This window comes from Homo sapiens, chromosome 1 (assembly GCF_000001405.40).
Source record: "Homo sapiens chromosome 1, GRCh38.p14 Primary Assembly".
NCBI lineage: Eukaryota > Metazoa > Chordata > Mammalia > Primates > Hominidae > Homo > Homo sapiens.
Window position 1 is genome coordinate 110,607,200 of NC_000001.11, and position 22,950 is coordinate 110,630,149.

Below are 22,950 nucleotides of genomic sequence, written 5' to 3' on the forward strand. Positions count from 1 at the left end.
GCCGGGCAGGGAAGGCAGCACGCGCCGCGCAACGCCCCGACACGGATTTACCCTTCCGGATGGGCACCGGGGCCTCCATGTTCCTAGGTTACGGCCAGCGCCGGCAGAACCCCGGCAGCGGGCGGCGGCGGGGTGCGGGCGGCCAGCCGGGAGCCGGCTCTGCAGTCCCGCGGGCGGCGCGTACGGAGCTCCCGGCCGCCGCCCGCAGCCGCACCGCGCCACGCAGCGCCGCACCTGGCTCGACGGCGAACTCGAATTAAAGGGGCCGGCGGGGGCCGGGGCCGGGGCCGGGGCGACAAGCTGCCCTCCGCCGCCACCGAGCTCGTCACCTCGTTGGGCCCCCGGGCCTCAGCCCCCGCCCCGCGAGGAAAACATTCTTTGGCAGAGCCCGACTTACTAACCAGAACCTCCAGGAGAGCTCAGCTGGGTGCTGCCGGGCCGGGGAGATGGGGGAGGGCAGAAGTTGAGGGGCACTGGTGAGAGGCTCCTGCCAACGTAATGAAGTAGGCAAGGAGGAGATAATCAATAGCAGCTACCCCAGGCCCACAGCGGGATCCAGCCCCGGGAGAGACGTGTTGCTATTATTGTGGTGCCTCCAGACAGGATCTGCAGACCCCTTTCTTGCCCTTTCTCCCGCCAGCGCGACCCCTTCTCCAGATCGGCTTCCCACCTCCCTGTTACCCAGCAAAGATTTGGCTTCGCAGGGAAATGCAGCAGGTGCGGTCCGCAGTGTGGCAGAAACTCTTCTGCTGTGTTCGCCCCCACCGAGAGGAGCCGCAGGAACAGGCAGCACTGCAGGGCTGGCCCTCTCCACTCCCCGACTCCCTCCCCCAGGGCCCGGGCAGGGAAGGCTGGGGGACACGCCGCTGCCCTTGGGAATGGTCAGCTACTCACAAAACGGGCCCTCTGGCAGAACTTGCAAAGCCAGGTGGCCCACAGGGCTCTGAACTTAGGAGTGCAGCTTACAGCACCCTAGGTGGGCAGACGAGGATGCCCTTTGCTTTCGGGAAATGTGTGTGGGAGGCACAGCCTACTTTCTGCCTAGATAGGGCATCCGAGAAGGTCCAGGGTGCTTTTGGGAGGCAGACGACAGCCTCAAGCCCCTGCTAGTTCTGTTCTCCAGGTCCCTGTCAGGGTCACCTAGACAGGTGTGCCAAACAGTGGTGGTTCCTTGAGATAAGACTGCGGTAGACACGGAGCTCTGGATTCAGATGGGCTCTAGCACCAGGAAGTCCCCACTGGGCCCTCCCCCCTACCCTCCGGCCGGGAAACCCTCCTCTCTATGCGTGTACCTCGTGGGGAGAGCCCTGAAAGCCCATGAAGCGGGACTCCGGATTCTGGCGTTTCATCGTGGTAGTCTGTGAGGTGTGGTTGAAGACTGGGAGCCTGCCTAGAGCTGCAGGGGGTGGTCTGGGAGGGCAGTGACCTCCGTGGGCCCAAAGGATGACAGATGACTATAGAGAAGGGCTGGTATGGTTTAGAGCACCTTGAACCTGGCCTGTTAGTGTCCCAGTCAGTGAACGGCTTGGGTGTTTTGGAGGCAGTCAGATGGAAACGTAACTCCCTAACAGTTACTAGATAAGTTATTTCACTTCTCTGGGCACCAGTGCCCTCCTCTGAAAAATCAGGATGCCCCTAAGGGTGTGGTGAGGTTTTAATTGTTGAATGAGTTTAGCATCCAGCAGACACTGAATGCATGATGATTTCGCTGCTCTGCTTCCTTGTGAAACTCTCCTCATAGCTCTTAGCTTCCAGCTTAGCTCTGGGGTGTTTCTCTAGGCTCCCAATCACCAGGTCCTTGTTGCCCCATTCCCTCTGCTTCCCAGATTGCCCCGCCCTTTACTTTCCTTGAGATCTCACCATTCCCACCCCTCTACCAAATTGACCTCCAGTTCCCTTCCCTATATACTCCTTCTGAAAGCCTCCCCTGACCAGCACCAAGGGGCTCTGTTTCTCCTATTTGGCACACTGGGTTCTCGTGTCATTTAAAGTCAGATAATCCTGTGTGGCCAAAGTCAGATACTCTATCCATCTGATCATATGTATACATTTCCTTTGCCTTCCTTCTTGAAAACAGAAGCTGTGGACAGAGAAAAGCCCTTGAAGGAAAATCAATCGTCATAATTGGTGACATGGGCTTACCATGTGTCAGACCCTGTGCTAAGCACTTCTTACCCAGGGCAACATTTAATTCTCACAGCCCTAGAAGTCAATGTATACATTAGTACCATTTCATTGGAAAGGAAATGGAGGCAGTGAGAGGTGAAATCACCTGCCTGAGGTTAATAAATGGTGACTCTAGGACTGGAATTAGGTCTTTGTGATTCTAGGACATGTGCCCTTAGCCCCCACACCACACTGTGCAGGTGGAATGAGCAGCTCTTGAATTTCATTTCCCTCTTTGAGATCTTCCTCTGACCTCTGCTTCTATTTTGTGACTTGGCCTCAGGGGTATGTTGTCCTGTCTCTATCCTTTAAACTTAAATGTGAACAATGACAAAAAAAGAAATTAACTAAAGAAGGGGGAAAAAAAAGAACCATCATAACAGTTGTTTAGGCACATTTCAGGGCTTCTGCCCTGAAAAGTGTCTGTCAGTACCTTGGTTTGGCAGTGCTGTATAGGAAAAGAACACAGGCCGTATTCCCGGCACTAACACTTGCTAGCTGTATGAACTTGAGCAAGTTACTGACACTCTCTGAGCCTCCTACTGTTCGTTTCCTAGTTGGTCGAATGGGAGAGCAAAGCTACTTTACAGGGTAGTAAGGACAAAATTAGCTATAAAGAATGGACAGCCAGCTAACTTAACTGAGCCCCCTTTCCAGTTCTATGGTGGGCTCCATTTCTTATTTTTGGCCACACAATAGCAGCCAGAGTGTCCTTTGATCCTTTCCCTGGGGCATGGTGAAAATCCCCAAAGACCACTCCCTTCCCTTTGGTTTGGTTTCCTGCTTGAGAGCCAGGCCCTGCCTTCAGCAGAGGGAAGGGCTGTGGTGGCTGTCACAGTGAGTGACTGGTGACTACAGTCATCTTAAAAGAAGAGTTTATGACTGTGTATGCATACACACCCACACCCACACAGAGGGACTGGAGGGAGAATCTCTTAGTTCTTCCCATTTGTGAATCTTCTCAGGTGTCACTCCCAGGGAACCAGCTCCCCTTCCTGGCATGACTGCTGCCTCTGCTTGATGCTCCCCACCAGCCCATCCACCCATGTGCTGGCACAGTCCCCACTCACTCACAGGTAGGCAGGGCAGGAGGACACTGGGCTGACAGCCCTCCAGAGATCATTTGATTTAATCCTTGCAACCAGCCAGTGGGAAAGATATCATTGTCTCTGTTTTACAGATGAAGATACTGAAGCTCAGAGAGGACCAAGGTAATTTAGCTGGTTAGTAGTGAGGCTGGAACAGATCAAGACTGTGTGACTTTATAAGTCACCATGCCATTCTACTGCCCACTTTTACTGTTAGCTCAGTGCCAGGCCTCTGGGCTCAATTTCTGGTCTCAGGAACAGAGATTCCCCAGGGGTCGTCTCTCCTGGAGGCAACCTGACCTCACAGGCAATCTGGTTTAGAAGGGAGTTGGTGCTGGTGATTAACTGTTCATACCTTAACTGAGGGACTTGAGGCAGTGGTGGTGCAAGAGTCAGGACCCAAAGGCTCCCAAAGGGGAGGACAAGGCAAGGCATCTGACCAGGGCCGTGGTCTGTGCGACCCAAGCTCACTCACTTGACCTTTCTGAGTAGCAGTTTACTTATAAAATAGGTAGGACACTAGCCCCGCCCACCCCCTTGCTTCATAGGGCTTAAAGACAGAATGAGGAAGGAAGGAAGGAAGGAAGGAAGGAAGGAAGGAAGGAAGGAAGGAAGGAAAGGGACCTTCATTGTTAGTGTGTGTTAACATCTCATTGGTTAGGACTACAGAGGATAATACCCATGGAGGTGCATGGAGAAGCAAAGCCTGGTCAGTGTGGAACAGGACTCTGTTAATGTCACTGTTGTTGCTGATGTTGTGTTGTGCATCTGCCTGACATTTGAGAACTTCCCTTGGAAGTGGCATGGGCCTCCACTCCAGCCCACTACTTACCTCCAAAGTCAAGGTCAGCCTCCTGCAGGAAGGCTTCTCAGATTAACTTCAGCTGCCTCTAAGGGGCCCCTTCATGGAGGCCTGGGCCTTGGCTCCTGTCTTGAATGAGCTGCTACACACTCATCCCACCGCAATACTGGCTAAATAAAAGAATATGTTCTTTTATTACAAGGTGGCTCATGCCTATAATCCCAGTAATTTGGGAGGCTGAGGTGGGAGGATTGCTTGAGGCCAGGAATTCAATATCAGCCTAGGCAACATAAGGCTCCACCTCTAAAATTTTTTTTTTAATTAGCTGGGCATAATAGCATGTCCCTGTAGTTCCAGCTACTCGGGAGGCTAAGTTGAGAGGATCATTTGAGCCCAGGAGTTTGAGGCTGCAGTGAGCCATGATTGTGCCACTGCACTCCAGCCTGGCAGACAGAGCAAGATCCTGTCTTGAAAAAAAAAAAAAAGGCTGGGTATAGTGGTCCATGCCTGTAATTCTAACACTCTGGGAGGTTGAGGAAAGTGGATTGTTTGAGCCCAGGAATTTGAGAACAGCCTGGGCAACACGGTGAAACTCCATCTCTACAAAAAATACAAAAATTAGCCAGCACGGTGGTGCATGCCTGTAGACCCAGCTACTCAGGAGGCTTAGGTAGGCGGATCAGCTGAGCCCCAGCGCGGTGGAGGTTGCAGTGAGCTGAGATTGCACCACTGCACGACAGTCTGGGTGACAGGGTGAGAACCTGTCTCAAATAAATAAATAAATAAAATAAAAGAACATGTTAAGGAATGGCTAATGAGGGTAGTCCCTCCCTCATGGTTTGGAGCTGCTGCTCTGGTTCAAGCAGTGTGCTCGTTGTCTTACCATGAGGCCCCCTGCTGCTAATACTCAAAGGCAGTACAGCAAGGTGGTGGAAGTACAGTCACGCGTCACCTAACGATGGAGACACATCCTGAGAAATGTGTCAGGTGATCTCATCGTTGTGCAAACATCGTAGAGTGTACTTACACAAACGTAGATGGCATAGCCTGCCACACACCCAGGCTGTATGGTAGAGCCTTTTGCCCTAGGCTACAAACCTGTACAGCATGTTACTGTGCTGAATAGTGTAGGTGATTGTAACACACTGGTAACAACATTCACCCAGTTGCCCAAACCAGAAGCCTGGATGTCCTTATCAACTGTCTTCTTCCTCCTTCACCCGACACACTCCACATGCAGCCAATCACTTGGCCTTGGTGTCTGTTTGCTTCTCTCTGATTCCCTCTCCCTCCCCACGCCGCCCTGGTTCAAGCCACCAGCAGGCACAGTCTGGGTCACTGCAACCCCTGTTGGTCCTGTCTTCAGACTTGTTCCCCTCTGGTCTCTTCTCCCCACAGTTGCTATAGAGACCCCACTAAAGTGCAGGTAGGATCTATCACCTCTTCAACTACTCATTGGTGCCCTATTGCTAGGATCAACCTGCATTTCCTAAAAAGCGAGCAAAGCCTTTCATGATCTGATGTTCCCCTGTCTTCCCTCTAAACCTCCATCCTGGAAGTCCACACTGGCATCACATTAAACTGCCTCGAAAGCTCTAACTGGCTTAAAACAGACAGGTCAGGTTAAGACTTGAAGTCAGACAGGCCTGGGGTGGAGCCCCTCCTCCACTGCTTGCCATTCACATGACCTTAGGTGGGGTGTTTTTCCTCTCTGAGTCTCAGGTTCCAATCTGTAAAATGGGATTAATAATGCCCAATGCTTGCTCTGAGGATTAAATGAGATAGTGGGCACAAGGTATTTATCTCAGTGACTTCCAGGAAGGTGTCAAGAAACGTGAGCTTCCAGATGGCTCCAGGTGTTTCTGCTTTGACTCCAGCAGCCCCCTGGCCAGAATGCCCTACCTTCCTCCTTCCCTGTCACTTCAATGACTTCTTCTGACACTCAACTTATGTCACATCCTCCACGAAGCCTTTCTTAACCCTCTTCCTGGTCTCCACCCACCAACAATATGCTCCGGACACAGACCTGTCACACCAGGTCCTGAGGGGCCTGTGTCCATCTGCACGCAGTCTTCCACTAGGTGGAAGCACCCTGAGGGCAGGGCCATGTCTCTTCTGCCCTTGCATACTGGTATCTGCTCCAGGCTGGGCACAAAGAAGCTGCCCTGGCAGTGTTTGTGAACCAGCAAACACCAGCAGATGCACAGCCTCTATGGTGCCCACAGCTTAACTGCCTCTCCTTGCCTTTCAGCCCTAGACTTGGTGTCCTTAGAGGGCCCTCACTTCTGAAGAAACTTGAGTTGCCACAGGGCCAGCCAGGGGCTATTTCTGACTCCTGCCCAAGAGGCTGAGAGGGGTCAAGAGGGAAGACCAGCCTTGCACCAGTCACTACTACCAGGAGGAGGATGCACCAGGCAACCCCTGTATCAGAGGATAGCAGGGCAGGGAGGAGGGTTTCCCAGAGCTGGTGGCTCCCTCTCTATTTTATAGAGAGCTTAAGCATCTTGTTCAGGGTCACCCAGCCAGTCCAGGCAAGAACCACGGTTTGAACTCAGGCACTGTGGCTCCAGAATTCATGCTCCTATCCATCCTGCTGTGCTGTTCTCATAGAGTGGGTATACTGTGGGCTGGACCTCGTCCTGTCCACTAGTCACTCTGTGCTTTAAGCTCTCCTAAGGACCCGTGGTCTTCCAGCTTCTGCTCACACGTGCTTATTGCCTCCTACCAAGGATCATTCCAACTTTGGACAGAGCTAACTTTTCAATTGCCTTTTGTGGACCTGGAATTATCCTTCTTGAAGCTTTCACTCAGGCGTCCCACCTGTGGCCATAGAGAGCAATTCTTCCTCCCCTCCCCTGCACCTTGCAGAGATCAGCACTTTACAAAGTTGAAAACAGTGGCGAGGAGCTCCATGGCTTCTCTTCTTTGAGGTCATTATTCCCAGGTCCTCAACTCTTCCTTATATGCTGTGGCTTGAGGTCTTGCACTACCCTGGCCATCCTCGGAAGTTTTCTAACTTCAAAGTGGGCCATGTATCAAAGTCTCCAGAGGAGAACACTTTGACCCTAGTGTGGCCCAGTTATCCCAGAAGTGCAGACAGTATCACTGTTTTTGCTTCATAAAAGTAGCCTAACACAGGTTGACTCCCTAGTGTCTGCGTTATGTGGCTGAATTAGCTGGGCCTGAAGGTTACTCTAAGCCCCACGTCCTTCTTCTCTCCCTTTTATGGCCTTTGGTCAATAGAGAAGAGGAATAGAACAGAAAAACAAGAAGCAAGTTGATATCATGGAAAGGCCCTTGGCCTGCCAGTTTCTGTCCTGACTTTATTACCAGGTGACCTTGTAAGTCACTTCCCCTCTTTGGGCCCCAGTTTCTTCATCTGTAAAATGGGAAAGCTGGGCTACTTCTTATTCTATGATTCGTTCTTCAACTTTACCTGGCTGAGGAATGGGAGCCTTAAGCAGATGAATGCATATACCTCCTTTATCTCCACTGGCACCATGGGTCCTCCTACTGTCACTATTTTGCTGAGAGGACATCAAGGCTCAGAGGTCATAGGACCTGCTCAAGGTTGCATGGCTCTAGTAAGTGGCAGAGCTGGGATTCCAGCCCAGACTTTGCTGATCCCCACATCAACCGTTACCCCAACACATGTCACTGCCTGTTTAAAAGGGAGAAAGGACTTTCAAAGATGCCAAATCATTTTGAAAACGAATCCTGCAAACATTCCAAACAGTGCAAACCTGATGCTCAGTGCATCTTAATGATGTTCTCTGAGTCCAAGAAGGGTCATTACAAAGGGAACACAGGGAATCTTTGACTCTGAGGCCTTGCAGAAAGGGGCTGAAATTGCAGTGAGGAGTTTCCTGAAGTTCAACCTGAGGAAAATGACTGGCCCTACTGGAAGTTTCATGGCCTAAGGCACCCAAAGGCGACCTGTAAGATCACAGCAGGGCCCGCCTGCCACACACCACTTACCTAGGGCCTTACCTGAATGCTAAGGAAGTAGAATTAGAGGCATGAAAGACTAGGTAGAAAACAGTTGGATAAAAAAACGTGTTTGTTGAATGGAGTAAACTCTTGTGTGGACAGGCAGTGGGGCTTGCCCTGGGAACTCAAATCTGAGGCTCTGGAGTGACTCAGCCTCTCTGGCTCAAGTATTTTTATTTTTATTTCAAACATACATATTTTCTGAATTGATTAAAAGAACAAAACATCCTAAGTCCCCTACTCCCAAACTCTCCTGCTATGAGGAGGTTGAAGGTGGTCACTAGAATGGGGCTATTAGAAAGATTTTCTTTGCCACCAGATGTTCCGCTCCTGATCTTCCTTAAAGGCAATCCCTTGGCACTACTTGTTAGTGTCAGCAACAGTGATGCTTTGGTGCTTCGATCGACCCAAGTCTTTGAAGCAGGGGAGGGAAAGGTAGACAAGTGAGGAGGTGGCTAAATCATCCTGGCATTCCTGGTGTTGCAGAACCAACGTGTATCTAGAAGAGTACAGGGAAGATGACTTAGGAGTGGAAGAGAGCCTGGGGCACAAACGACAGCTAGGAGGAGGGACAGAGGGTCGGGGCGCCTGGGGAGGAGAACCTCTGTGGTTTCCTGTCCCTCTCACACTCGCAACCAGGAGTCTTGGGATGCTTGCTGTTCACCTGAAATTCTAGGCTCATCCAACAGTGCCACCCAATGGCCACATGGGTGCAGGGACGTGCCTAAGGAAGTGGAAACCAGATGGGAGGAGAAAAGAGCCTCACCAATTCAGAAAAAGAGAGACCTGAGTTTCTTTCTGCCTTGAGGATGTGGTATAGGGCTCTCCAGGGGTCTTTGGACCTGGGCAGAGCCATGCTTTAAGGGTTCTGCATGCCTCAAAGGAATTCCTCTCTTCTCTGAACTCTGGCCATTAGAATCTGCTGGGTTAAATCAGGGACTCTGTAACCTGCAGATCCCCAAGTCAGCCTGGAGAGATGGGGCATCTGTAGCCCCTGGCCCAGGCTTCACTTCCTGAGATGATGAGGGGCTGGCAATGCAGCCCCACCCCCACCCCCACCACCCAGGTTCATCTAGTCAGGGTCAGGGGCCGTGGCAGTTGTCAGGTCAGCTCTGTGGGACAGCGGGGTAGAGGGTGGAAGTCAGAATGTGGAGTGACTTCATAGGGGGCTGCGCATCACTTCCCTTCTCTTCCAGCTGCACCTTTCCAAAGTCCAGGAGCTTTCAGGAAATAAGAAAAAGTTCTTTCTTTAAGAAACATGGGACCCCAGAGTTAGATCATAAATAAGCCAGCATGGTTCCTAAGGAAAAAACAACAGAGCCTGGGAACAACCGAGCCAGGGTCTAACTGAAACTCTCCAGGCTATGTGAGAAGGATAATTCCTAACAGAGGCAGGTGCTATGTTCACTCCCATTCAACAGTTACAGAAACAAGCTTGGTGAGGCTGAGTGGCTTGCCTGTAGCCACATAGCCAGCAGCTGGGTGCAAAAGGCAGGAGCTGAGTCATGGTCTGTCCTCTAGCCCCGGCTCTAAACCAGGCATCGAGCCAAGCACTGTGGGGGACACACAGAGCGTGGCACAGAGGAGGTGCTTGATAAATACTAGTTCCTTCCCTAGAAGGATGGATAAGGAAGCAGAATTGTCAACAATTGACTCTAACCCAAGGCAGAATGAATTGGCTTAAATTGAAGAATAAAGTACAAAAGCACCTAAGAAGAGGAAAGCCTTCACCAAGGATGGAAATTGAGAGATGTCTTTACGGAGGAGCAGAATGTCCAAAGACCCCGAAAGAGGTGTTGAAGTGAAGCTTGGGCATTCTTCATGGGCAATCTGCATGCCTCACTGCCTGCTTCATTCATTCACTCCCTGGAGAAGGGCTCTCTGCAACAGCCTATCTCACACTGTGTGAGGAGGGATTTTGAGGATTTTGTTCTCTCCTGTACCCCCAGTGCCTGGAGCACACTGGGAGCTTAATACATATTTGTGAGCTAAATACCCAAATGGGTGAGTGGATTCCAGGAAAAAGGCACAACAGGGACAGACCAGAGAAGCAGCCTCACCTGTGCCAGGGACTCTGCGCCAGATGGAGTGCCAGGAGCGAGCAGTGTGGGAGGACATGGTAAAATGAGAGGTCGATGGGGGAAGACTGAGAAAGGCCTTGAAGTCATGCTGAGGAGTTCAGGTTGTCCTGTAGGTGATAGGGAGCCATTGAGAGTTCTGAGTGGGAGAGACAGGATCCAATCTATGTTTCAGAAAGATAACTTGGGAAATGTGGAGTATAGTGGAAAGGATGGGTCTAAGAGCAGAGGCAGGAAACTGGTAAGGAGGAGGTTGCTTCCCCTCAGAGATGTCAAGGGTCTGGACTCAGGCCATTTGTTCAATAGGTGAACGGTAGAAGGGATGAAGGCAGTGATGAAGAGAAAAGCACCAAAAGGGAGACATTACAGGGAGTGTAGGATTCAGTGATCAGCGAGATGGGAGAGGGAGAGAGAGTGTGGAGGGGCCGCCACAGGGCTTCAGAGAGGTGGTGTGCGAAGTGCATGTGCACCTGTGTGTGTGCACTCATGCATGTGTCGAGGGATGGAGCTCACATGGTGGGCAGTTCTGACATACATGGGGGTTTGTGGGGCTGCTCTGATGGGCCTGTTCCTTGTCAACAGGGCAGATGGCAATGCTGGCCTGATGCTCAGGAGAGAGGTAGAGGGTAGGGAATGGAGAGTTGAAAGTCATCATCATGGAGGGGTCATTGAAGCCAAGGGTGAGAATGAGATCCCCCAGGATGAGAATGTAGATGGAGTGAGAAGAGCAGAGAGGGCCTGGGTGCGGCGGCTCATGCCTGTAATCCCAGCATTTTGGGAGGCCAAAGCAGGAGGATTGCTTGAGGCCAGGAGTTTGAAACCAGCTTGTGCAACATAGTGAGACCCTGTCTCTACAAAAAATAATTTAAAAAAATTATCTGGGCATGATGGCACCCACCTGTAGTCTTAGCTACTTGGGAGCCTGAGGTGGGAGGATCACTTGAGTCCAAGAGTTCGAGGTTACAGTGAGGTATGATCGTGCCACTGCACTCCTGGCTGACATGTGAGTGACCTGTCAGTGTGTGAGAAAAGGCATTTTATCCTCTTTTAATTCCTCTCTGGAGAGTGGAGCCTAGAACCCTGACTGCCTCTGACCTTGCCGTCCAGTTAGGGTGTGGCCCTGGAATGTGGCTGCCTTCCCTCAGTTCTTTCCCTGTGGAATTGCTGCTCTGTGTGGGCTTCCTTTCCTTTCGGAGGTAGGATGAGGCAGCTTGGGTGGCCCTCAGATGGGAAAAAGACCCAGGAGAGCCACGAAAGGAACATAAGGAGAGGATGGAGAGGGTAGAGAGCCCTGCTCAGGTGCACCGAACATCATGACTTAGAGTCTAATTGGCAGCTCAAACATGGCACATCCCAAACCAAATTCTTGCTTCCTTCCCATGCCCCCACACCTGAACCCCCATCCCTCTGAGTAGCACCACTCCTCCCTCATCCAGTTGCTCAGGCCCAAACCCCGGGACACAGCCTTTGGCTAATCCAACAGGGATTCCTATGGCCTCTGCCTTCAGACCATCTTCTGAACCAGATGTCTTATCTCTTCCGGCAGGCGAAGCAAACCTGGCCCCAGATGCTCTACTCTCACCTGGGCTCCTCACAGGCCTCCCTGTTCCTATTCATGCCCTCGCAGAAGCCAGAGTGATTTTATAAACAACATAAATCGAGTTGTTTTATGCCTTTGTTCAAAGTCCAGTAGTTGTTCACTACTCTCAGAACTAAGCCTGAAGTCCTATGGCCCAGAAGGCTCTGTACCGTCTGTCCCCTGGACACCTTTCTGACTTCATTTCCAACCACCCTCTGCAGCTGCCTCCTTCCTGGTCTCCACACCCAAAGAATGCATCCCTGTGGCCTGGCTGTCCCCACTCCCTGGGAGACTGTACCCCCAAACATGCTCATGACTTGCTCTGCTTACACATTACTTTATGTAATTCCTTTATGGGGCCTCTGCTTACACATTACTTCCTAGGAGATGCCTGGCACACACTAGGAAAACGAATGAATGCATGTATGATAATACCGGTTTTAACCTTGTGCCTGGCACATAGGAAGTTCTTACAAGGTCTCCTGTCTCGGCTATGAAATCTGCTCCCACTCCCAAGGGTATGGCTGGTTCTTTGTAAAGGAGGCCCCTCCTACACATACAAGGTGGAAATCAGCTCTGCAGAAAAGACAGACGCACGAGCTGCCACTGGCCGCCAGGGGGCGCCACATGCAGCGGTATCTGCACACTGTGGCTCGGGCGGCAATGCGGCAATCTGGGAGGGCTGCGGCCGTCAACGCCCACGCAGCAGGGAGAGACCGGGAGTGGACAGCCACAGGCAGGGCTTCTTAACCAGCCGCGCCTGGCTCCCTGCGCATCCCGTATCCCGGGTCCTAAGAGATAAAAGGTCAGGGGAGATTTTGAGGGTTTGATATTTTTCGCCACCTATTTGTTAAGCCCTTAAACCCCAGCACTTTCAGTCACCTGAGGTCACCTCTCTGACAACACCTCCCCTTCCGCATTCTAAAAATACAAAACCCAGAAACAGAAGCTTTAGTGTGGTTAAGTAACATACACTCTCTGCCTGACAAACTCCTCAGCCCTCCCCTGGACAGCTCCCAGTCTCTCCAAGCCGACTTAACGTCCTAGGAGACCACCTCTCCCTGTTCACGTGCCCTGTAGCAAATGCTGCTGTGAACTGCGATTGTGTGAGCTTCCTGAGAGCAGCTTAATGAGAGAGAGAGAGCGAGAGCGAGAGAGAGAGAGAGAGAGAGAGAGAGAGAGAGAGTGAGTGAGAGAGAGAGAGAGAAATTTGGTGGGTAAGACTTCTCAGCCCCCAGACCAAATTGGATATCCCTAACATACCCCTGTCCTCACACATCCCGGCCTCTCCTTTCAGACCCTCTCTTCTCCTTTCCCTCTGTGTGAACCATGTCAGGCAGGTTAGCCTTGGAGGCTCTCAGTGTAGACAGTGTCTTAGAGATCCCCTCACTCTTCTTGGGTGCACCCGGCAAACACGGGTTCCAGGAACTCACTGATCACCGCCCCATCCACAGCCCAGGTCTTCCTGTTGTTTTGTGGTCTACTGTGATTGGTGGGAACGTCTGCCCACCGTAGCCAGCAAACTCTGTCTCCCAGGCATGGCTGCCCATCGTCTCACCTGTCTTTCCCATTGCGCCTTCTCGGAGGTGAAGGCTGTGCTGTTAAGAACCCCACTTGGCAGAAGGCCAGAGAGGAGGGCTGGGCAGGGCAGGGTAGGGCATGAACAGTGAGCTGTTGGTCTAGGCAGGGCATGAATTGATGGTGAGCTGTTGGCCTAACCAACAGATGGTCTGAGGTGAGGATGCAGGGTGGAGAGAGTGCTAGGGTCAAGGTAGCATTTGAAGTGGGTAAAGTCGGTCATCTAGGTGCTCCTGTCATCCACATAGCTCCTGAGTTTTGTTCATTATCACTGAAAGTTCCTTTTAAAATATCCTTCCCACACACCCCCAGCGGCCCCGTGTGTTGGATCATCTTGCCTGCAAAACAAACTGCTCTTATTATGTAATGATGAGTGAGTGCGTCTATCCACCGTTAACAACCTGAACATTTGTAACAACCAACATAGCTTCTGGCTGGCGTGAGAGGCTGTGGACTGCCTCACTCTCACTAAAGTGTGAGAATTCAGCCCCAAGTAGAGTCACTTGACATTCTGTTTTGCCTGGGCAGGCTTGTCACATGTAATAGTGTGACTTTCTCTCAGGCTTCTTGAAATTCTAAAATAACTGAAGCGCCTCCATATGACCCTCTTGGACAACCAATCTCTGGGGATTCCTGGGTGCGGATACTGGCTTTGGTGTCTGACTTGCTCTGTCCTGCAGAGTCCCACTCCTTGTTTGCTGGGTGGGTAAGTGTTCATTAGCTAATATTTTTAACGGTTTCCATAAAAAATGGATTAGTGTGCTAATTTTAACCATAGCTTCACATGGCATAATGCCTTAGCCCAATAAAATACATAAAATTGTATATACAGCCTGATTATAACTTCATTAAAAAGCAACAACAAGGGGTAGGATTTCTAGCCATGGCAGAGTGAAGATAAAATTATATGCTTATATTAGAAAAGAAGATCTTACATCAATGACCTCGTTTCCAACTTAAGAAACTAGAAAAAGGAGAGCAAGTGAAACCCAAAATGAGCAGAAGGAAGGAAATAATAAAGATTAGAATGGAAATTGATAAAACAGAGAACAATAGATAAAATCAATGAAATCAAAACTGGTACTTTAAGAAGATTAATAAAATAGATAAGTATCTAGCCAGTCTAACCAGAAAAAAAGAGAAATAACCAATATCAGAAATGAGAGAGATGACATTACTATTATTAACTCTACAGACCTCAAAAGGACAATGAGGGAAATTCTAAACAACTCTATGACAATAAATTGGACAACTTGGTTGAAATGGAGAAATTCCGTGAGAGACATAAACTACCAAACCTCACACAAAGGAAACAAATAACCCAGTACCCCATAGTTATTTAAAAAATAAATATGTAGTTTAAAACCTGCTTAGTTTTAACTAATTTTCTTGGTTAAAAACAAAGAAAATTCCAGGTTCAGATGCTAAACTGACTAATGCTACCAAATGTTTAAGGAAGAAATAATTCTACACAAATTCTTTTAGAAAATGGAAAAGATAATACTTTTCAATCCATTATGTGAGGCCAGCATTACACTTATACCAAAACCAGACAAAAACATCACCAGTAAAGAAAACTACAGGACAATATGCTTCATGAACATAGACGTACAAACCGAATAAAGACGTATGAAATCAAATACAAAATAATAAGAAAAGAATAATACATCATGACCAAATGGAGTTTGTCATAGAAATTCAAGGTTGGTTTAACTTTAAGAAATCAATGTAATTCACCATATGAAAAATATGAAAAAGCAAAACCACATGATTATCTTAATAGACAGAGAAAAATGTTTGAAAATATTCAGTATTCACTTGTGATAACATCTTTCAGCAAACTAGGAATAAAGGGAGTTTTTTTGACCTAATAAAATACATCTATAAAAAAACCTGTAGCCAACATTATACTTAATGATGAAAGACGGAATGCTTTCCTTCTAAAATCAAGAAGACAAGGATTTCTGCTTTCACCATTTCTATTTAAGATTCTATTGGAGCTTGTACCCAGCACAATAAGGTAAGGAAAAGAAATAAATGGCATCTAGATTGTAAAGGAAGAAGCAAAATTATCTTTATTCACAGGTGGCATGGTTATTTATGTAGAAAATCCAATGGAATCTACCAAAAGAGCTACTAGAATTCATAAGTGAGTTTAGAGAGATGTCACAATACAAGATCAATGTACAAAAATCAATCATTTTTCTAAATACAACAAACAATTATAAATTGAGATTTAAAAACCCCATTTACAATAGCATTAAAATATAAGATACTTAGGGACAAATCTGAGAAAGGATGTGAAAGACCTATACACTGAAAATTCTGAAACATTAATGGTAGAAATGAAAGACCTAAATAATTGGAAAAATAGACTGCATTCCAAGGTCAGAAGATAATATTGTCAAGACATCACTTCTTCTTAAATTAATCCACATATTCAATAGAATCTCAATAAAAATCTTGGCAGAATTTTTAACAGAAATTGACAAATTGAGCTATACAATACTGCAAGGAACCTAGAATAACCAAAGCAATTTTGAGAAAGAACAAGATTAGAGGGCTAATACTATATTATTTCAAGACTTACTACAAGGCTGCAGTAATAAAAACAATGTGGTATTGGTGTCAAGATAGACAAATAGATCAATGGAGTAGTAAAGAAAGTCCAGAAATTGATTCACACGTATATGGACAATTGATTTTTGATAAAGATGCAAAGGTAGAAAGAAGTCTTTCAACAAATGGCGCTCGAACAACTGAACAGCTATATGCAACATGAACACATGTACATAGACCTTTTCCTAATGTCATAAACAAAAATCAGCTCAAAATGGATCATTAGACCTAACCAAAAGAGCTAAAACTATATAATTTCTAGAAAAAACAGAAAATGTTTTGACCTTGTGACCTTCGGTTACTCAAAGATTTCTTAGATATGACGCTAAAGAAGCATGATGTATAAAAGAACAAATTGATAAATTAAACCTCGCTGAATTAAAAACGTTTGCATTTCAAAGACACCATTAAGAAAATGAAAACATAGATCCAAGCTAGGAAAACATATTAGCAAATCCTACAAAAAATTACTTTTTGTAGAGACAAGGTCTCACCATGTTGCATAAGCTGGTTTCAAACTCCTGGCCTCAAGCAATCCTCCCGCTTTGGACTCCCAAAATCCTGGGATTACAGGCATGAGCCACTGCACCTGGCCCTCTCTGCTCTTCTCACTCCATCTAACAAGGAACTCACATGCAGAATATATGAAGAATTTCTATAACTCAGTAAAAAAGAAAAACAAATTTAAAAATGGGCAAGATAACTGAATAGGCATCTCACCAAAGAACATATACTAATGGATAATAAGCACATGAAAAGATATTCCCATCATTAGTCATTATGAAATACAAATTTAAAGCATAATGATCAGAACAGTGAAGCCAAAAAAAAAAAAAGAGAAGCACAAAAAGATATCACTACACACTACAAAACTGTAATATAAAAGACTGAGGATAACATCTGTTGGTGAGAATAGGGAGAAATTGAAACACTCATTCATTGTTGGTGAAAATGTAAAATGGTGAATCTACTTTGGTAAATAATTTGTAGTTTCTTTACAAAGTTAAGCATATACCTACTATATTAGCAATTTATTTATAGGTATCCATCCAAGAGAAATAAAAACATATGTCCACACAAAGACTTATATGAGAATACTTATAGCAGGAATAGTCAATATAGCTAGAAACAGAAAGGAATCCAAATGTCCACCAACTGCTGGATTAACACAATGTGCTATATCCATACAATGGAATGCTATTCAGCAATAAAAAAGAAATAGACTACTGGTATATGCTGTAACATGAATGCACCTCAAACATGCTAAGTGAAAGAAGACAGACATAAGAAACACATATCATATGACTCCACTCCTGTGAAATTGCCAGAAATGGCACATCTATAGAGAAATAAAGCAGAACAGTGGTAGCCTGGGGCTTGGGGCGGGAGTAGGGATTGACTGACAAGTGGCAGGAGTGAACTTTTGGGGGTGATGGATATATAAATCTATAAATTTACCAAAACATTAATACTTAGTCTAAAAATGAATGCATTTTGTAGTGTATAAGTTATACCTCGATAAAGCTGTTAAAACTACACAATAACAACAACTACTACACATGCTGGGAAAAATGATGGGAAAAATGTGCCAACATACCAAAAATGGTTATGTTGAGATTGTGTTGCGAGTGGATTTTTTTCTTTATTTCTTACATTTTCAATAATCTGCACTACATTTATCATGAAAAATATAATAACTTAAACAAGAGTGAATTCAGGACTATTTTGTAAGACCATAAATAGTGGCAAGTCTTGGAGATGGAGGTTGATATCGGTGAAAAGTCTGATTGGAAAGGCATTCTTATTTTGAAGATTCTTTATAGGTCCTACAGCCATTCAGAAGTAATAAAATCAATAAGCCTGGGGCTGCCAATAGAAAAACCTTGGCATCATCCTGACTTCTTCCTCCTTCATTTTTAAGACTTCATCTCCAAGTCTTGGCAACTCTTCCTTTAGAGTCAGGATACTTTGGTTTCTTTCTGCCCATTCTGGCCACACAGCCCTCACTCAGCCCTTGGCCCATTGCAGAAGCATTCTAACGGGTCTGCTACCTTCAGTCAGCTTCCCCTTCAATCTTCCCAGAGCAGTGTAAATACATTATTTGTAATGGGTAGGGAAATGCCCCACTACTTATTCCGTACTGTAAAACCTCAATAATCAGAAGAGTGTGGTGGTCCCAGCACATAAATATACAGACCAATGGAATTGAATGGGAAGTTCAGACATAGCCTGAGGACATATATAAATTTGTATACATAAAGGTGACATCTCATATAACAATGAGAGTAGGGATGGCTTTTTAATAAATGGTATAATGACTACTGAGTAGCCACACCACACCCTCTGCCAGTATAAACTCCAAATAGACTGAATATTCAAATGTAAAAAGTAAAATTCTATTACTAGGAGAAATCTCAGGGAAATATTTTATAATCATAAAGAATATCTGTCAATATATGACTCATAAAACTAAAGCCATAAAACAAAAAATTGATAAATTCAATTACAACAACAACAAAACTTTTGCACAGTAAAAAATATGGTAAGACAATTCAAAGAAAAATGATAAAGTGGGAAAAATATCTGTAACTCATTATCCAGACAAATGGCTAATCTTCATATATAAAGAGCTGAAAGAAGTCAATAAGGTAAAAGGTAAGCAATACAATAAAAGAGTGGGAAATGGCAATGAACAATCAGTCCACAGACAAAGAAGTGCATGTGCTCCTTAATATGTGAAAAGATACACTCCTTCATTCATAATTAAGAGAAATACATATTAAGGCTACACTGAGACATCATATTTTTTGACCTATTGATTTGGCAAAAATTCAAAAGTTTAGCCATATATTTATTTTCTGTGCTCTGAAGAAACAGGCCCTCTCATTCATATATTGTTGGTGGGAGTGTTAATTGGTTCAGCCCCATGGAGGCCAATTTGGCAACAGTTTTCAAAACTACAAATACATTTACCCTTTGACCCAGAAATCACATTTCCAGGAATTTATTCTATGAATACACCTAAGTATATTAAAATGACATATACACAAGGTCATTCATTGCTGCATGATCTGTAATAGTAAAAGACTGGAAACAGCCCAAGTGTCTATCACTAGGGGACTGGTAAAATAAACTGTGTTATAGCCATACATGGACTACTATGCTACTATAAAAATGAAGCAGGAGTATTTCTATGTTTTGATACAGAAAAAAGCTCTGGATATATTATAAAGTGAAAAAAAAGCAAGATAAAGCAGTGTATTTAGTGTGCTACTTTTGAGTACAAAAATCAGAGGAAGGGAAAGATATATTTGTATTTGTTCATATCTGCACAAAAAATACTAGAACGATACACAAGAAATGAATCTCGGTGGTTATCTACAGGGATTATGGAATGGAGTGGACAGGGCGGAGTGAGAATGAGACATCTCAGTGTGTACCTTTTATAATTTATTATTTTGGTTTTTTGATTTATGTGAAATATTACTATTCAAAGCAAAAAGTAAAAATCTCTTAAATTTCACCATTAATGCATGTTAGAAAACGTATATACACAACCATGTTGAAGTGTTGTTCCCACAGTCCACACAATCAAGTATAAACTCCTACACCTGTCCTCAAGAGTCTTAATTTCCCAGCTTTATCTCAGCCCTTACCTCTACACAAGCCTCAGGCACCAGCCAGACCAGACTGGTTCTGGTTCCGTGACAACACCATGTGCTCTGGGACCTGAGTCTTTGTTTTTTCCACCTCCCTGCATGGAATTCCCACCCCTACCAGTTAATAACTTTCAAGGCCCTCTTCCTGCATCTCCAGTGAAGTCTTAGTATAAGAAGAATGTGATGACGATGACGATGATGATGATACCTCTGTTTACTGGGCACCTATTTTGCTAGGCATTGCACTAAGTGCTTTATTGCATCTCATTTAATCTTACCGTCAACCACGTGAAGGAGGAATTGCTGTCTCTGTTTCACACACACAGGAAACTGAAAACAGAAGAGGTAAAACCAGACATGGTGCAGCACCACGACCAAAACCTTCGTGTCTAGGGTCAGACAGGCTTGGCCTAGACTCCCAACTCAGCTCCTTTCTGGCTCGGTAACCTTGGAAAGTGACATAATCTATGGAAGCTTTAAGTTAATCATCAGTAAATGGGAATAATTAAAATGTTTATTTCATGGAGTTGTTCAGGATTAATGAGACGCTGGAAAGAAAACACTCGGCACACCGCTTGGCACATAGTAAGTGTTCAATTATTGGCTAGTCACAAAGTCCTTATAGTACCAGATTTTATCCACTGCCCATGTTGAAGTCTCCCTCCCTTGAAGTGTGAAGTCCTAACCACCCAAGCCTCTTGTTTATACGGACAACATCATGCCAGCCAATGCTATGTTATCTTTCTCTATCTCCATTTGTCTTTATTTCATCAGTTAGATCATAACGGTTTCCAGGGCTAGGGCTAGCTCCTGGGTTTCTCTCTGTGCTCCCTCATTGGACCCAGCACTTAGTAGATGCTCAATAAATGTTTATTGATTTTGTCTGAAGAAAGTGGGTAAGAAAGGAAAACAAAAAGGAAGAAGGAATCTAAAATAAAACAAGAGACATCTAGGACTAACATAATTATAAAAAATGTTAATACAACCCTTGAGCCCAGAAGTTCGAGATTGCAGTGAGCCACGATCCCACCACTGCACTCCAGCCTGGAAAAACAGTGAGACCCTGTCTCAAAAAAAAAAAAAATAATAATAATGCCAGGCTTGATGGGGACAAAGTGAAGAGGGAGAAACTCCTATGAGGTGGACAGGAAGTGACATAGCAAGAATAGGAAGTGGGAAAAGAGGGTACTGAAAGTAGTGCAATGCAATGCGGGAAACATATTTAGAGGGACTACTCTTGGGCAACACTGAATTTCCTCATTTCTTGAATTCACTAAGATATGGATGATTAAAAGGCCACTGTTAACTCCCAAGTTAGTCTTATTGTTTGGAGATGATGGTGATGGTTGAAGGGCTTTTAACTGATCACAAGTTGTTCTTGTGCCCTGATGGGGGAAAAGACAGTATTTAGCCCTGAGCATTAATGGTCCTGGGTGCTGCAAAGGCCAGGAAGCAGTTCTCCATTCTGTCCTCCACACTGGGTATATCTTGACTGGGAGTTTGCATCCAGTTTTGATCCATGGACTTTATAAAAAGAGGGAGCAGTGGGAGAGTGCAGCAAAGTGGGTGGGGAATGAAATGCTGTCCCCTTCTTCCATGATCGCCCTCTGAAACGCCATTCATCTTGTTAGGTTCACTGTGAAGAAGCCTCCTGGGTGTTAGAATGGGCCTGACCATCCTCCGTATTCCACTGGTTTCCACTTGGTGACAGTACTCACACAAAGCTATTTTGCATAAGAGAAATGAGAGAGCAAAACTCCCTCACCCCAGACTGGGAACTCCTTGAGAGCAGAGACCCATTGTGTCCATCTCTGTACTGCCTGATGGGGGCCTTGTCCAGTGTCCGGCATCTGGTGCCTGACTTAAACAGGTGCCCCATAAATATTTGTTGGTTGAGGCGTCTCTGTAGAGGACTGGACAAGAGGTGATGACTTGAAAGAAGGCAGGAGGTCAGATTAGATGCCCCACTGCAGTGCTTCTTTGACACTCTAGACTTCCCACACATTATCACCAATCCCACAGAATTCGTCTGTACATTTTAGGCCTCTCTCCCCCAACCAGATCCTTCAGAGCAGAGATGGACTGACTTGTGCTAAAAGTAGATACTAAATGATTGTTTATTGAATACATGGACACAGCTTCATAATCCTGTAGATTGCTTTAGAGCTCAGCAGAGCTGATTCCCCTGGGAATCATGGTGGTGCTGCACCATGCCTGGTTTTACCTCTTTCTTGGCAGCAAGACCTGATGTGTTCTCCTCAAATTTGCATTTGATATCATTCATGTCCCAGGCTAGATCCCTGAGGATCTTCAAGAATGGCTCCCAAATGTTGGCTGCATATTAGAATTGCCTGGGGAAGCTTTAAAATTCTAGTGCTGAGGTCACATTTTGGATAAATTAAATCAGAATGTCTTGGGGTGAGAGCCTGAGTTTAGTGGCTGTTAGTGATCCCCAATTACCACCAAATCACCAAATGATCCCCAATCAGCGAGTGATTTTTAAGGTCCCCACCAATGGCCCCAAGATCATCATTCCAGACAATCCCCAATGGATATGAAAGTTTGGGAACTACTGGTTTTGGAAATGCATTTTTATTATAGAAATTGAATAAGTCTCAATATATCAGAAAATTAATAATGAGACCTATGTCCCTGACACAACATAAATGGAGGTGCCACTGTAGAACATTTATCAAAGGATCTGGTGTGATAGCTGGAATTTGTCCAGATGCTGTTAACGTTTGTAGACTACCCTGAGAAGCAGCTCAGTGAGGCACCTCTTCCTCAGCACAGTTACTCTCTCCTTCCCCTGTGTGTATTCAGCACTTTAAATTATTTGTTGCTATGTTTTTCTCCTCACTAGTTGTGAGCAACTTGAGGGCAGGAACTGTGTATCTATAAGCACACTGAGCATCTGGTGTCTGACCCTCGGTGGATGACAGACACCTGTTTGTGGCATAAATGTGTCAGTGAATTCACTCATTAATTTATATACTCATTCAACAAATGATGATAGTAACAGACAGAAATGTATGGTATTGGCAGAAAACAGGAGTTAATTAAGACGAGAGAAAAACGAGGAGACCGAATTAAACACAGGGAAGTAAAAGCTGAAGAATAAAAGAAAGAAAAGGGTATTCATTTATCATTTGAATTCATGTAATGCAGTGGTGGGTAGGTTTGACTGGAAGAAGCGTTTTTTTAAATCAAATGGACTCAAAAGTGAGTTAACATCTCTAAGTGCTCTGTACTTTTTTTTTTTTTTTTTTTTTTTGAGACGGAGTTTTGCTCTTGTTGTCCAGGCTGGAGTGCAATGGTGCCATCTTGGCTCACCGCAACCTCTGTCTCCTGGGTTCAAGCGATTCTCCTGCCTCAGCCTCCCAAGTAGCTG

The 22,950-nt window shown here is 45.8% G+C and overlaps 1 protein-coding gene across 5 annotated transcripts in view; it reads right to left on the minus strand.

The window, feature by feature from the left end:
* KCNA2 (potassium voltage-gated channel subfamily A member 2) overlaps positions 1 to 22,950 on the minus strand; it is a 37,861-nt gene that overhangs the window by 13,620 nt on the left and 1,291 nt on the right. Inside the window, exon 1 of one of the 5 annotated variants that reach the window (XM_011541400.3) lies at positions 682 to 748. The exons of 2 other annotated variants lie outside the window; for them this stretch is intronic. The gene's annotated coding sequence lies outside the window, so the exon portion shown is untranslated. Of the gene's footprint in view, positions 1 to 51; positions 185 to 670; positions 749 to 22,950 lie in introns of those variants that run through there. 2 more of the 5 variants (XM_017001213.2, XM_011541396.3) reach the window with 2 other exon arrangements.